The sequence below is a fragment of the Homo sapiens genome, chromosome 3, assembly GCF_000001405.40.
Source record: "Homo sapiens chromosome 3, GRCh38.p14 Primary Assembly".
Taxonomy (NCBI): Eukaryota; Metazoa; Chordata; class Mammalia; order Primates; family Hominidae; genus Homo; species Homo sapiens.
This window is the reverse complement of record NC_000003.12, coordinates 51468451-51481292: the sequence shown is the minus strand read 5'-3', so window position 1 is coordinate 51481292 and position 12842 is coordinate 51468451. Positions and strand designations below refer to the sequence as shown.

The window sequence follows — 12842 nt, the reverse complement described above, 5'->3', positions numbered from 1 at the left end:
CATACACAAATAGGATTTTCCTACCTTCATTCATACCTACATTCTTCTCCGACTTCCTTTTTCCTACAGAGTAAAATGTAAAGTTTTTAGTGTGGCCTATGTGGCCATTTATGATGTGGCTTACTTTCATAATATTGTAGTTCTTTCGCTGTAAAAAGTAAGAAATCAATGCATAAAAAGTTGTTTTCACAGCTATGATATTGGGGATGGGATGTTGAGGATTCCCACGTTCCAGTGACCTTCTCCTTAGAAAACCCATGAGCACCTCTACCCAGCCTTTACTTTTCACTCTTTCTACCTTAACAGATTTTTTCAATAAAATTATGTACCACACAGTTATTAAGTACCAGGCAGTGGGTAGATCATCATTTGAGGAGACACCAATAAAAAGACATAGTATGTGCTTTCAAGAATTTTACAATTTAGTGAGGAAACACGTGTAAAAAAAACGGTTCTAGTATAGTGTGGTATAATGGCAGAAAATTAAAATACATACACATGAATGATAGGAGTATTAAAACAAATCAAGGGGTGCTGGGTTTGGTGCCTCACACCTGTAATCCCAGCCCACTGTAAATGGCATCACATCATAAGTAGCCCCACAGGATGAGAAAAAGGAGGATGGCCTCTTTTTTCTCCCTCATAGTATTAGTCTCTTTCTGTAAGTATTAACTTTTTTTTTTTTTTTTTTTTTGAGGCAGACTCTAGCTCTGTCGCCCAGGCTGGAGTGCAGTGGCACAATCTTGGCTCACTGCAACCTCCGCCTCCTGGCTTCAAGCAATTCTCCTGCCTCAGCCTCCCGAGTAGCTGGGATTACAGGCGCCCACCACCACGCACGCCCAGCTTATTTTTGAATTTTTAGTAGAGATGGGGTTTCACTGTGTTGGCCAGGCTGGTCTCGAACTCCTGACCTCATGATCCGCCCACCTCAGCCTCCCAAAGTGCTGGGATTACAAGCATGAGCCACCCTGCCCGGCTGGATTAACGTATTTTTTAATGTCTTTGTGCCTTTACACTTGGTATTTCTTTGGCCTGAAATGCCTTTCCTTGGCATGTCTGCATGGCAGGCCTAGTCCTTAGAAGAAGTAGTTCAAGAATCATGTCTGTAAAACCTTCACTGACTTTGACTTTCATAGGTAGGTTTGGGCTCCCCATCATTAAAAAAAATTTTTTTTTTTTTTTTTTTTTAGTGACAGGGTCTCACTGTGTTACCCAGGATAGAGTGCAGTGGTATGATTATAGCTCACTGCTAAATTTTTATTTTTTAATTTTTTTGGTGGAGACAGGGTTTCATTATGTTGCTCAGGCTGTTTTCAGACTCCTCACTGCAAATGTTCCTTCTACGTTGGTCTCCCAAAGTGCTGGGATTACAGGTGTGAACCACCATACTGGCCACCACTTTGTTTTAATACTCCTGTCATTCATATGTATGTATTTTAATTTTCCCCCATTATACCACATTGTACTATAATTTTATTTTATTTTATTTTATTTTTTGAGACGGAGTCTCGCTCTGTTGCCTGGGCTGGAGTGCAGTGGCGCGATCTTGGCTTACTGCAAGCTCTGCCTCCCAGATTCACACCATTCTCCTGCCTCAGCTTCCTGAGCAGCTGGGACTACAGGTGCCCGCCACCACACTGGGCTAATTTTTTATATTTTTTAGTAGAGATGAGGTTTCAGGTTTCACCGTGTTAGCTAGGATGGTCTCGATCTCCTGCCCTCATGATCTGCCCACCTCGGCCTCCCAAAGTGCTGAGATTACAGGCGTGAGCCACCGTGCCCAGCTATAATAGACAGGATTTCCCTCTGTTGCCGAGGCTGGAGTGTAGTGGCGTGATCTCGGGTCACTGCAACCTCAACTTCCTGGGCTTAGTTGATTCTCCCACCTCAGCTTCTGGAGTAGCTGGGACTACAGGCACACACCACCCTGCCTGGCTAATTTTTTGTATTTTTAGTAGAGATAGGTTTTCGCTATGTTGCCCAGGCTGGTCTTGAACACCTGGACTCAGGCAATCCACCTGCCTCGGCCTCCCAGAAGTGCTGAGATTATAGGCGTGAGCCACCATGCCTGGCCTACGACTATGTCTTTTTATTGGTGTCTCCTCAAATGATGATTTGTCCACTGCCTGGTTCATAATAACTGTATGGTATATAATTTTATTTAATAAATGTGTCAAGATGGAGAAAAAGTGAAAAGTAAAGGCTGGGGAGGGGTGCTCATGGGTTTTCTAAGGAGAAGGTCACTGGAATGTGGGGATCCTTAACGTCTCCTCTTCAGTATCATAACTGTTAAAAAAATCTTTTTGTTTGTGCAGTGATCTCTTTTTATGGAGAAAGAACTATAATATTATGAAAGTTTAAATGGGGATAAATGTATTGTTCCTAATTGCTTTTAATACATGGGGAACATGTGAAAATACCAGTTTTTTTTAAGGAACAGGATTATTGCTGACTGGCAGAAACTGGATTTTAACTGGTAGAGGCATTGGAGATTAAGAAAGTTAGGCCAGATGTAGTGGTTTATGCCTCTAATCCCAGCACTTCGGAAGGCTGAGGTAGGAGGATCGCTTGAGGCCACAGGTTAAAGACCAGCTTGGGCAACATAGTAAGACCCCGTCTTAATTAAAAAAACAAAACAAAAAAAGAATAATTAAACACCAACTATTAAACAAGATACTTGAAATGCAGCCACAGTGAATTAGAGAATTTAAATATTGTGCTGTTAACATGTGTATAATTGATGTGGCTGTGAAAGGAGGAGAGTCATTAATGAGGATGGTTATGTGGATTCATTCACTTGTTCAAGAAATATTCTTTGAGCACTTATACTAAAAGTACTTAATGTTTTATTTTCAACATTATTTTACATTATCATATTTTATCCTCAACTTTTTCACTATGCTATGCTCTTCAGCCATGCAAAGCCTAAAATAGAGGGGGGCTGTCCTCAAGGAGATAACTACCTGGGAAGCAACTAAGACTAACGGAGGCCTGGCATGGTGGCTCACACTTGTAATCCTAGCAGTTTGGGAGGCTGAGGCAGGTGAATTGCTTGAGCTCAGGAGCTCAAAACCAGCCTGGGCAACATGGTGAGACTGTTGTCTCTACAAAAAATACAAAAATTAGCCAGGCGTGGTGGCACGTGCCTGTAGTCTCAGCTACTCAGGAGGCTGAGGTAGGAGGATTGCTTGAGCCAGGTAGGTCGAGGCTGCAGTGAGCTGAGATTGTGCCACTACACTCCAGCCTGGGCAAGAGAGACTCTGTCTCAACAACAACAACAACAAAAACTAACAGATAAGGAACAATGCATAGTAGCACAAAATAGTATATAATGATGAAGTTCCAAATCAGGCAGCATGGTTTGTGTGTGTGTGTATATATATATATAAAAGCTACTGGAATGGGAAGGTTTGTAAATATTAAAGGGGTTATCAGAATGGAAAGAAAATGAGTGAATCAGTTCATTCCACTCAACAAATATTTGAGGACTTTTTTTGGTGTCAGAACTGTAAGAGGCACTTATCTGAACTTCACCTTCCTTATTTGTCACTCAGTATCTCTGAAAGATACATCATTAAATGATAGACATTCTCAGATTTACTTGCAAAAAACTGCATAGCGAGGCAGTGGAAACTTAGGTTAGAATCCTGGGTTTTGACTCCAATTCCGGTGTTGTTTTTTTTTCCCCCCAAGGCTGGAGTACAGTGTTGTGATCATAGCTCACTGCAGCCTCAACCTCCTGGACTCAAGTGATCCTCCCACCTCAGCCCTCTGAGTGGCTGGGGTGCATGCTACCATGCTCCACTAATTTTTGTATTTTTTTTTTTTTTTGTAGAGACAGGATTTTGCCAGGTTGCCCAGGCTGGTCAGTTTATTTTATTTTAATCAGGGGTAACTTCCCTCCTTCACCAAATTGTGGGTCTCTTTACTGGATATTTTCTAAAATAGTTCTAGGGTTTTTTGTTTTTTTTTTTTCTTCACTCATCTGGCTGCAGGTTTGGGTGTTTTAGTATATTCCATGAAGAGCAAATGAATTTTAGGCCTGTCTGCTCTTTTATTGACCTTTTTATGATCTTTTGACAGTTTCGTAAGAACAGTGTATGTCATTTTGTAACTTGAATTCATCCTTTTATTAGCCTTTGACTTGATTCTGTTGAAAGGGGCTGGCTTTGGTCCAAGCTGTGCGAGTGGGCTTTTTTTTGTTTTGTTTTGAGATGGAGTCTCACTCTGTCGCTCAGGCTGGAGTGCAGTGGTGTGATCTCGGCTCTGCAACCTCTGCCTCCCAGGTGCAAGCAATTCTCCTGCCTCAGTCTCCCAAGTAGCTGGGATTAGGTGCCCACCACCAAGCCCGGCTAATTTTTTGTGTTTTTTTTAATAGAGACAGGGTTTTACCACGTTGGCCAGGCTGGTCTTTTTTTTGAGACGGAGTCTGCTCTGTTGCCCAGGCTGGAGTGCAGTGGTGCGATCTCAGCTCACTGCAAGCTCCGCCTCCCGGGTTCACGCTATTCTGCCTCAGCCTCCTGAGTATCTGGGATTACAGGCACCCGCCAACACACCTGGCTAATTTTTTTGTATTTTTAGTAGAGACAGGGTTTCACCGTGTTAGCCAGGATGGTCTTGATCTTCTGATCTCGTGATCTGCCCGCCTCAGCCTCCCAAAGTGCTGGGATTACAGGCGTGAGCCACTACGCCTGGCCTTTTTTTTTTTTTTTTTTTTTTTGAGATATAATTTATATACTGTAAAGTACTCTGCTAGATGGATTTTTTTTTTGTAAGACCATTATCGAGATCAAGTTATAGTAGAACTTGAGTACCAGATTGCACCCTCCTGCCTCATCCCAGTCAATAGCTACCCTAAATTAACTGTTTTTCCTATTTTTTATTCTCAGTTTTTTGTTTGTTTTGAGATGGAGTCTCACTCGCACCCAGGCTGGAGTGCAGTGGCTCGATCTTGGCTCACTGCAATCTCTGCCTCCCTGGCTGAAGTGAGTCTCCTGCCTCAGCCTCCTGAGTACCTGGGATTATAGGCGCCCGCCACCATGCCTGGCTAATTTTCGTATTTTACTAGAGATGGGTTTTACCCTGTTGGCCAGGCTGGTCTTGACCTCCTGACCTCAAGTGACCCACCTGCCTCAGCCTCCCAAAGTGCTCCACTGCGCCTGGCCCGATTCCCAGTTTTTATGATGCCAATTACTCTTGGAAAATGAGAAGACTAAACAGAAGAAAAAAACCCCACAATTAACACCTAAAGAGCTCTTACTTGTCAGGTTTTATTCTAATTAACTGAAACCCAGGGAAACTCTGTAACGTAGAGACTATTATCTTGAGGCACAGAGAGGTTAAATAACTTACCGAGAGTGTCTCACACTGTGGAAGAGCTCAGATTTGAACCCTGAAAATCTGGCTCCAAAAGCCACCTTTTTTTTTTTTATGAGACATAGTCTCGCTCTGTCGCCCAGGCTGGAGTGCGATGGCGCAATCTCGGCTCACTGCAAGCTCCGCCTCCTGGGTTCACGCCATTCTCCTGCCTCAGCCTCCTGAGTAGCTGGGACTACAGGCGCCTGCCACCGTGCCCGGCTAATTTTTTGTATGTTTAGTAGAGACGGGCTTTCGCCGTGTTAGCCAGGATGGTCTTGATCTCCTGACCTCATGATCTGCCCACCTCAGCCTCCCAAAGTGCTGGGATTACGGGCGTAAGCCACCACGCCGGGCCCTGGAGTGCAGCAGTTTTATCATAGCTTACTGCAGCCTTGAATTCCTGGGCTCAAGCCGTCTTCCAGTCTCAGTCTCCTGAGTAGCAGGGACTACAGGATGTGTTGCCACCATGCCTGGCTAGTTTTTAAATTTTTAGTAGAGATGGGGGGGATTTCACTATATTGTCCAGGCTGGTCTCTAACTCCTTACCTCTAGTGATTTTCCCACCTTGGCCTCCCAAAGTGCTGGGATTATAGGCATGAGCCACTGTGCCTGGCCCAGAGGCCATATTTTTAACTTCTCTGTTATATTTCTTAGTTTCAACTGGGGATACTAGTAGATCTTTTTGTTTTTTTTTTTCTTTTTTGATACTAGTAGATTTTACAATATATAATTCTAAGTATATTTTGTGAAGCTGAGGTGGAAGTATTGCTTGAGTCCAGGAGTTCAAGACCAGCCTGGGCAACATAGCAAGATGCTATCTATATAAAAAATTTAAAAAATAGCCAGGTATAAGGCTGGGTGCAGTGTCTCACGCCTGTAATCCCAGCACTTTGGGAAGCCGAGGCAGGTGGATCATGAGGTCAGGAGTTAGAGACCAGCCTGACCAACATGGTGAAACCCCATCTCTACTAAAAATACAAAAGTTAGCCGGGCATGGTGGCATGTACCTGTAACCCCAGCTACTCAGGAGGTTGAGGTAGGAGAACTGCTTGAACCTGGGAGGCGGAGGTTGCAGTGAGCTGAGATTGCGCCACTGTACTCCAGCCTGGGCGACAGAGTGAGACTCCATCTCAAAAAAAAAAAAAAAAAAGCCAGGCATGCTGATTGACACCTGTAGTCCCACCTACTTGGGAAGCTGACGCAGGAGGATTGTTTGAGCTCAGAAGTTTGAGGCTGCAGTGAGGTACGATTGTGCCACTGCGCCACTGCAGTCCAGCCTGAGAGACAGTGAGACCCTGTCTCTTAAAAAAACATTAAAAAAAAAAAAACCATCACCAACAAAAAAAACAAGTACACATACATTATTTTGTGTGATTGCCCTTTGTGTTAAAGAGAGGTTTCAGAGTTTAGAGGGAAAGGAAGAAAAAGCAGAAATACTTATGAAGCTTGATTAGAGTGGACCAGTAATTTTTGCAGAGAGTTTAACTCTTTTATATTTATTTAGTTATATTTTTGGGACAGAGTTTTGCGCTTGTTGGCCAGGCTGGAGTGCAATGGCACGATCTCGGCTCACCGCGACCTCCGCCTCCTGAGTTCAAGCGATTCTCCTGCCTCAGCCTCCCGAGTAGCTGGAATTACAGGCATGCACCACCATGCCCGGCTAATTTTTTGTATTTTTAGCAGAGACGGGGTTTCTCCATGTTGGTCAGGCTGATTTCGAACTCCCAACCTCAGGTGATCCGCCCGCCTCAGCCTCCCAAAGTGCTGGGATTACAGGCATGAGCCACGGCGCCGGCCAGGAGAGTTTAATTCTTAAGACTGGAAGGGGCCAGATGTGGTGGCTCACACCTGTAATCCCAGCACTTTGGGAAACCAAGGCGGGTGGATCACTTGAGGTTAGGAGTTTGAGATAGCCTGACTAACATGGCAAAACCCTGTCTCTACCAAAAAAAAAAATACAAAAATGAGCTGGGCGTGGTGGCACATGCCTGTAATCCCAGCTACTCAGGAGGCTGAGGCAGGAGAATCGCCTGAACGTGGGAGGCAGAGGTTGCAGTGAGCCGACATCGTGCCATTGCACTCCAGCCTGGGTGACAGAGCGAGACTCCATCTCAAAAAAAAAAAGACTAGCAAGGCTGGGTGTGGTGGCTCAATGCCTGTAATCCCAGGACTTTGGTAGGCCAGGGTGGGCTTGAGCCCAGGAGTTCGAGGTCAGCCTGGGGAGCAAATCCCCAACTACAAAAAATTTTTGAAGTTAGCCGGGCATGGTGGTGTTCCTGTAGTCCCAGTTATTCAGGAGCCTGAGGTGGGAGGATCATTTGAGCCTGGGATGTTGAGGCTTCAGTGAGCCATGAGTCGTGTTGCTGCACTCCAGCCTGAGCAACAGAGTGAGACCCTGTTTTTTTTTTCTGGTTTTTGGTGTTTTGTTTTTTGTTTTTTTTTTTGAGATGGAGTCTCATTCTGTCGCCCATGCTAGACCCTGTTTCTTAAAAAAAAAAAAAAAAAAAAAGACTAGAAAGTATAGTGTCCTGGAAATAAGCACATAGGAGAGTTTGATTTAGGACAGAGCATGTTAGATGGAGAGTATGATAGTCTTGTATTGGCTTGTCATTATTATAGAGTGTCAGTCTTAGGTCACCCAGATAGTAATTTTTCTTGTTTTTTTTTTTTTTGAGATAGAGTTTTGCTCTTGTTTCCCAAGCTGGAGTGCAATGGAGTACAACCTCCGCCTCCTGGGTTCAAGCGATTCTCCTGCCTCAGCCTCCTGAGTAGCTGGGATTACAGGCATGTGGCACCGTGCCCGGTTAATTTTGTATTTTTAGTAGAGATGGGGTTTCTCCATGTTGGTCAGGCTGGTCTCGAACTCCTGACCTCAGGTGATCGGCCCACCTTGGCTTCCCAAAGTGTTGGGATTACAGGCATGAGCCACTGTGCCCAGCCATTTTTCTTGTTTTATAAATAATGCATGAATAACCGGGCGTGGTGGCTCACGCCTATAACCAGCACTTTTAGGAGGCTGAGGCGGGCAGATCACCTGAGGTCAGGAGTTCGAGACCAGCCTGACCAACATGGAGAAACCCCATCTCTACTAAAAATACAAAACTTAGCCAGGTATGGTGGTGCATGCCTGTAATTCCAGCTACTCAAGAGGCTGAGGCAGCAGAATCGCTTGAACCTGGGAGGCGGAGGTTGTGGTGAGCTGAGATAGCACCATTGCACTCCAGCCTGGGCAACGAGTGAAACTCCATCTCAAAAAAAAAAAAATGCATTAATGAAACAGAACTTTTCATACATTCAGCAACATGGATGACTCTCAAAGCATGCTAGGTGAAAGTTAGATGTAAAAAGATTATATGGTTCAATTTATGTGAAAGTCTGAAACAAGCCAGACACAGTGTTGCGTGCCTATAGACCCAGCTACTTGGGAGGCTGAGGCAGGAGGATTGCTTGAGGCCAAGAGTTTGAAGCTGTAGTGTGCTATGTTTATGCTTGTAAATAGCCACTAGACTCCAGCCTGGGCAACATAGCAAGACCCCATCTCTACAAGAAAAAAAACAAATTCTGGATCAGGCAGAACTCACTTGTAGTGAGAGAAAGCAGATGAACGGTTACTTGGGGCAGGGGTGGAGGCTTAGATGGTGGGAAAAATGTTACCAGCTGAGTTAATAGCACTGTAACCCTGAAACAGGAGTGAAATTGGGCTCTTTGAAGAACAGTGACCGAAGGTTAATGCAGGAGGGTGGAGGAGTGGAAGAAGTGGTCAGGAAGCAGCAGGCAGAAGCCAGATAATTGCAGGCCATAGTAGTACTTGGATTTAATTCAGGGTATTGTGGTAAGTCATTGGAAGTTGGAGAATGAATTGCATCAGATCAGACATGGAAGCAGGAAGCAAGGAGACTGGTAAAAAGACCATTAGAGGTAATCCAGGTAGTTGATGATGGTGGTCTGGATGAGGATAGGAGTGGTCAAGAATTAGAGAAGTGATGTGAGTCAGGAAGTACCTTGTAGTAGAGCTAACAGAAATTGTTGTGGGAGAGGGAGGAGAAAAGGAAGGTTTTTTTTTTTGAGACAGAGTTTCACTCTTGTTGCCCGGGCTGGAGTGCAGTGGCGCAATCTCTTGCCTCACCGCAACCTCCACCTCCCAGGTTCAAGTGATTCTCCTGCCTCAGCCTCCCTACTAGCTGGGATTACAGGTATGTGCCACCACGCCCAGCTAATTTTGTATTTTTAGTAGAGACGGGGTTTCTCCATGTTGTTCAGGCTGTTCTTGAACTCCCAACCTCAGGTGATCCTCCTGCCTCGGCCTCCCAGAGTGCTGGGATTACAGGCGTGAGCCATCATGCCCAGCAAGAAAAGGAAGATTTTAAAGATGAGTCCTACATTTTTGGTTTCTGAGGTGAAGGTAATGTTATTTTTTGAAGAAGGGAAAGTTTATATAAGAATGAGTTTGGGGGCCAGGTGTGGTGGCTCACGTCTGTCATCCCAGCACTTTGGGAGGCTGAGGCGGGTGGATCACGAGGTCAGGAGATCGAGACCATCCTGGCTAGCATGGTGAAACCCCGTCTCTACTAAAAGTACAGAAAGTTAGCCGGGCGTGGTGGTGGGTGCCTGCAGTCCCAGCTGTGCGGGATACTGAGGCAGGAGAATGGCATGAACCCAGGAGGTAGAGCTTGCAGTGAGCCAAGATCACACCACTGCACTCCAGCCTGGGCGACAGAGCGAGACTGTCAAAAAAAAAAAAAAAAGAATGAGTTTGGGAGAGGAAACTCTTTTATGAGATAATTGTGTAGATTTCTATGTACATCAGAAGAAATAGTCTTTTTCTAACTTTGCTTTTATTTTCTACCTTGACCGTTGAATTGACTGTTGTAGTGGTGGTCCATTTTTTTATGCTTGTCCAGAGTTGACCCCTTGTTTCCTTTGTGCTAGGATGTCTCAATTGATTGAAAAAGAAACTGAAGAGTATCGTAAAGGGGATCCAGACCCATTTGATGATCGACATCCTGGTAAGATTTGTGCTCTTAAGTGTGGGTCTTTTTTTTTTCTTTTAAGACACTTTTATTAAAGCGAGGGTCTTTTTTTTCTTTTCTAAAAAAGAAAAATTGCTTATGGGAAAATTTTTGAATTGAAATAGCGTCTTTTGTGGTAAGTTTTAAGACCTTTTATTTGTTAAAATGTTGCTCAAGGTGGAGCTAGTGAGGAAAAATAAATTTCTGGAAAAAATTGGAAATATTTTTGATATTTGCCAATCGAATATCACATAACTAACCTAAAGGAACAGAAGTAGGTGTACTTTAGTTAACTCAGTTGATATGATGACAAAGAATTAAAAAGAAAAATTGTCTTCCTTTCAGACTTTTTCTTTTTTGGAGATGGGTACTCACTCTGTTGCCCAGGTTGCAGTGCAGTGGCATGATCATAGCTCACTGCAGCCTGGATCTCCTGGCTCAAACGATCCTCCCACCTCAGCCTCTTGAGTAGCTGGGACTACAGGCGTGTGCTATCATGCCTGGCTGATTTTTAGTTTTTATTTTTTTGTAGAGATGGGGTCTTGCTTTGCTGCCCAAGTTGGTCTCGAACTCCTGGACACAAGCTATCCTCCCGCCTGGGCCTCCCAAAGTGCTGGGATTATAGGCATGAGCCACTGTGCCCAACCAACTTTTTTAAACCATAAAAACAAAAGGTGTTCTTCTCTGTGCCTTCATCTTTCTAATAATAATTATCCTCTAAATAATTATCCTTTTACTGTTGGGGAAATATAGTTGAGAAAGCATTCAGTGTCCTGCTTTTAGTTAGGAAGTTGATATTTGGAACCTTGACGCTTATGTCTGCTTTGGTGTCTTGAGAACTAAAGTATGCCTTCTCGTGTTAATTTGGTTTATTTTGGGCTTATTTATTATTATTATTTTTTTTTGAGATGGCATCTTGCTCTGTCGCCCAGCCGGCAGTGCAGTGGCACGATCTTGGCTCACTGCAACCACTGCTTCTTGGGTTCAAGCAATTTTTGTGCCTCAGTGTCCCAAGTAGCTGGGATTACAAGCATGCACCACCACAGTCGGCTAAGTTTTGCACTTTTAATAGAGAAGGGGTTTCACCATGTTGGCCAAGCTGGTCTTGAACTCCTGACCTCAAGTGATCCACCCGCCTCCACCTCCCAAAGTGCTGGGATTACAGGCGTGAGCCACTGAGCCTGGCCAATTTTGGGCTAATTAAAGCCATGATAGCACCTGCTTTGGTATGGAATTTGCTACAGTGGTACAGAATTATGAGGGACTTGAGACTGCCATTTTATGTTTACTATAAGGTAGATCACCAGTGGGCAAAGCTGAAGTCATGCATGGGCCCATAGTACATATAAGCTTGATAGCCTGAAGCAGTCCTTTGTGGAGAGGAGTCTGAAATTTTGGCCTGGCGCTGTGGCTCACGCCTGTAATCTCAGCACTTTGGGAGGCCGAGGCAGGAGGATCACCTGAGGTCGGGAGTTTGCGACCAGCCTGACCAACATGGAAAAACCCCGTCTCTACTAAATATACAAAATTAGCCAGACATGATGGCGCATGCCTGTAATCCCAGCTACTCAGGAGGCTGAGGCAGGAGAATCGCTTGAACCCAGGAGGCAGAGGTTGCGGTGAGCCAAGATCATGCCATTGAACTCCAGCCTGGACAAGAAGAGCAAAACTCTGTCTCAAAAAAAAAAAAAAAAAAAAAAAAAATTTGTGTGTGGAAAAAGAATGTGAATGAGTGCGAGTTATAAAAATAAGGACATTGTATATTCACCTGAATGTTCCAGGGTTTACTGCTATTTCTTACACTTTTGTTCTCACATGTAAGCTAGGCATTTCAAATTGAGAGTCTAGTTGCTTATGTGATGTTATCTGGTGCTGTTGTCCTGGACATCCCTACTTGTGACTACAGAGGAATATTCACCATTTAACCCACATCTTCAATAACTCAAATCAGAGCATGAAGAAGTATGAAAGTGAATGTGAAATCAGAAATTAAGTTAATGCATAGGATTATGAAAAGCATTAAAAGATAGATAATCATGCTGAATGTCATTGCCTGGAGATGGATTAAATGGCAACGAGGAAGAAGGGAGAGACAGAGAAAGATATGACATTTTTCAGTAGAGCTTACAAAGCAATTTTTTCCTCTTAATATTAAGCAATATTTGTCAGTGGCATTATTTCTTTATTAAAAATAAGGATTTCAGTTTCATGATTTATAAACAGCTAACATTAGGTAACTACGGTCCTTGTTTGTTTTTGTGATACTTTTCTCTGATGTTTCTTTCTTTTTGTGAATTACTTTGAGATACTAATTAACAGCTTGGTAAAAACATAGCAGCAGCTCACATCTTGTCTTCATTCTCTATTGTATGTTTTGACTAAATTTGCCTCTCTAAATGCTCTGAAAGAAAGGAAATGAAATAAAATAGAGGTTTCTGTTTTAAAAACAAACTAGGCCGCGTGTGATGGCTCATA

At 43.8% G+C, this 12842-nt stretch overlaps 1 protein-coding gene across 42 annotated transcripts in view; it reads left to right on the top strand.

Annotated features, from left to right (window-relative positions):
- DCAF1 (DDB1 and CUL4 associated factor 1) overlaps positions 1–12842 on the top strand; it is a 109773-nt gene that overhangs the window by 24347 nt on the left and 72584 nt on the right. For all 42 annotated transcript variants that reach the window (XR_007095776.1, NR_146065.2, XR_007095774.1 and 39 more), the window contains one exon: positions 10288–10364. Coding sequence is in view for 32 of the 42 variants with exons in the window: in NM_001171904.2 (NP_001165375.1) it covers positions 10288–10364 (77 nt within the window). In the remaining 10 variants the exon portion in view is untranslated. The remainder of the gene's footprint in view (positions 1–10287; positions 10365–12842) is intronic.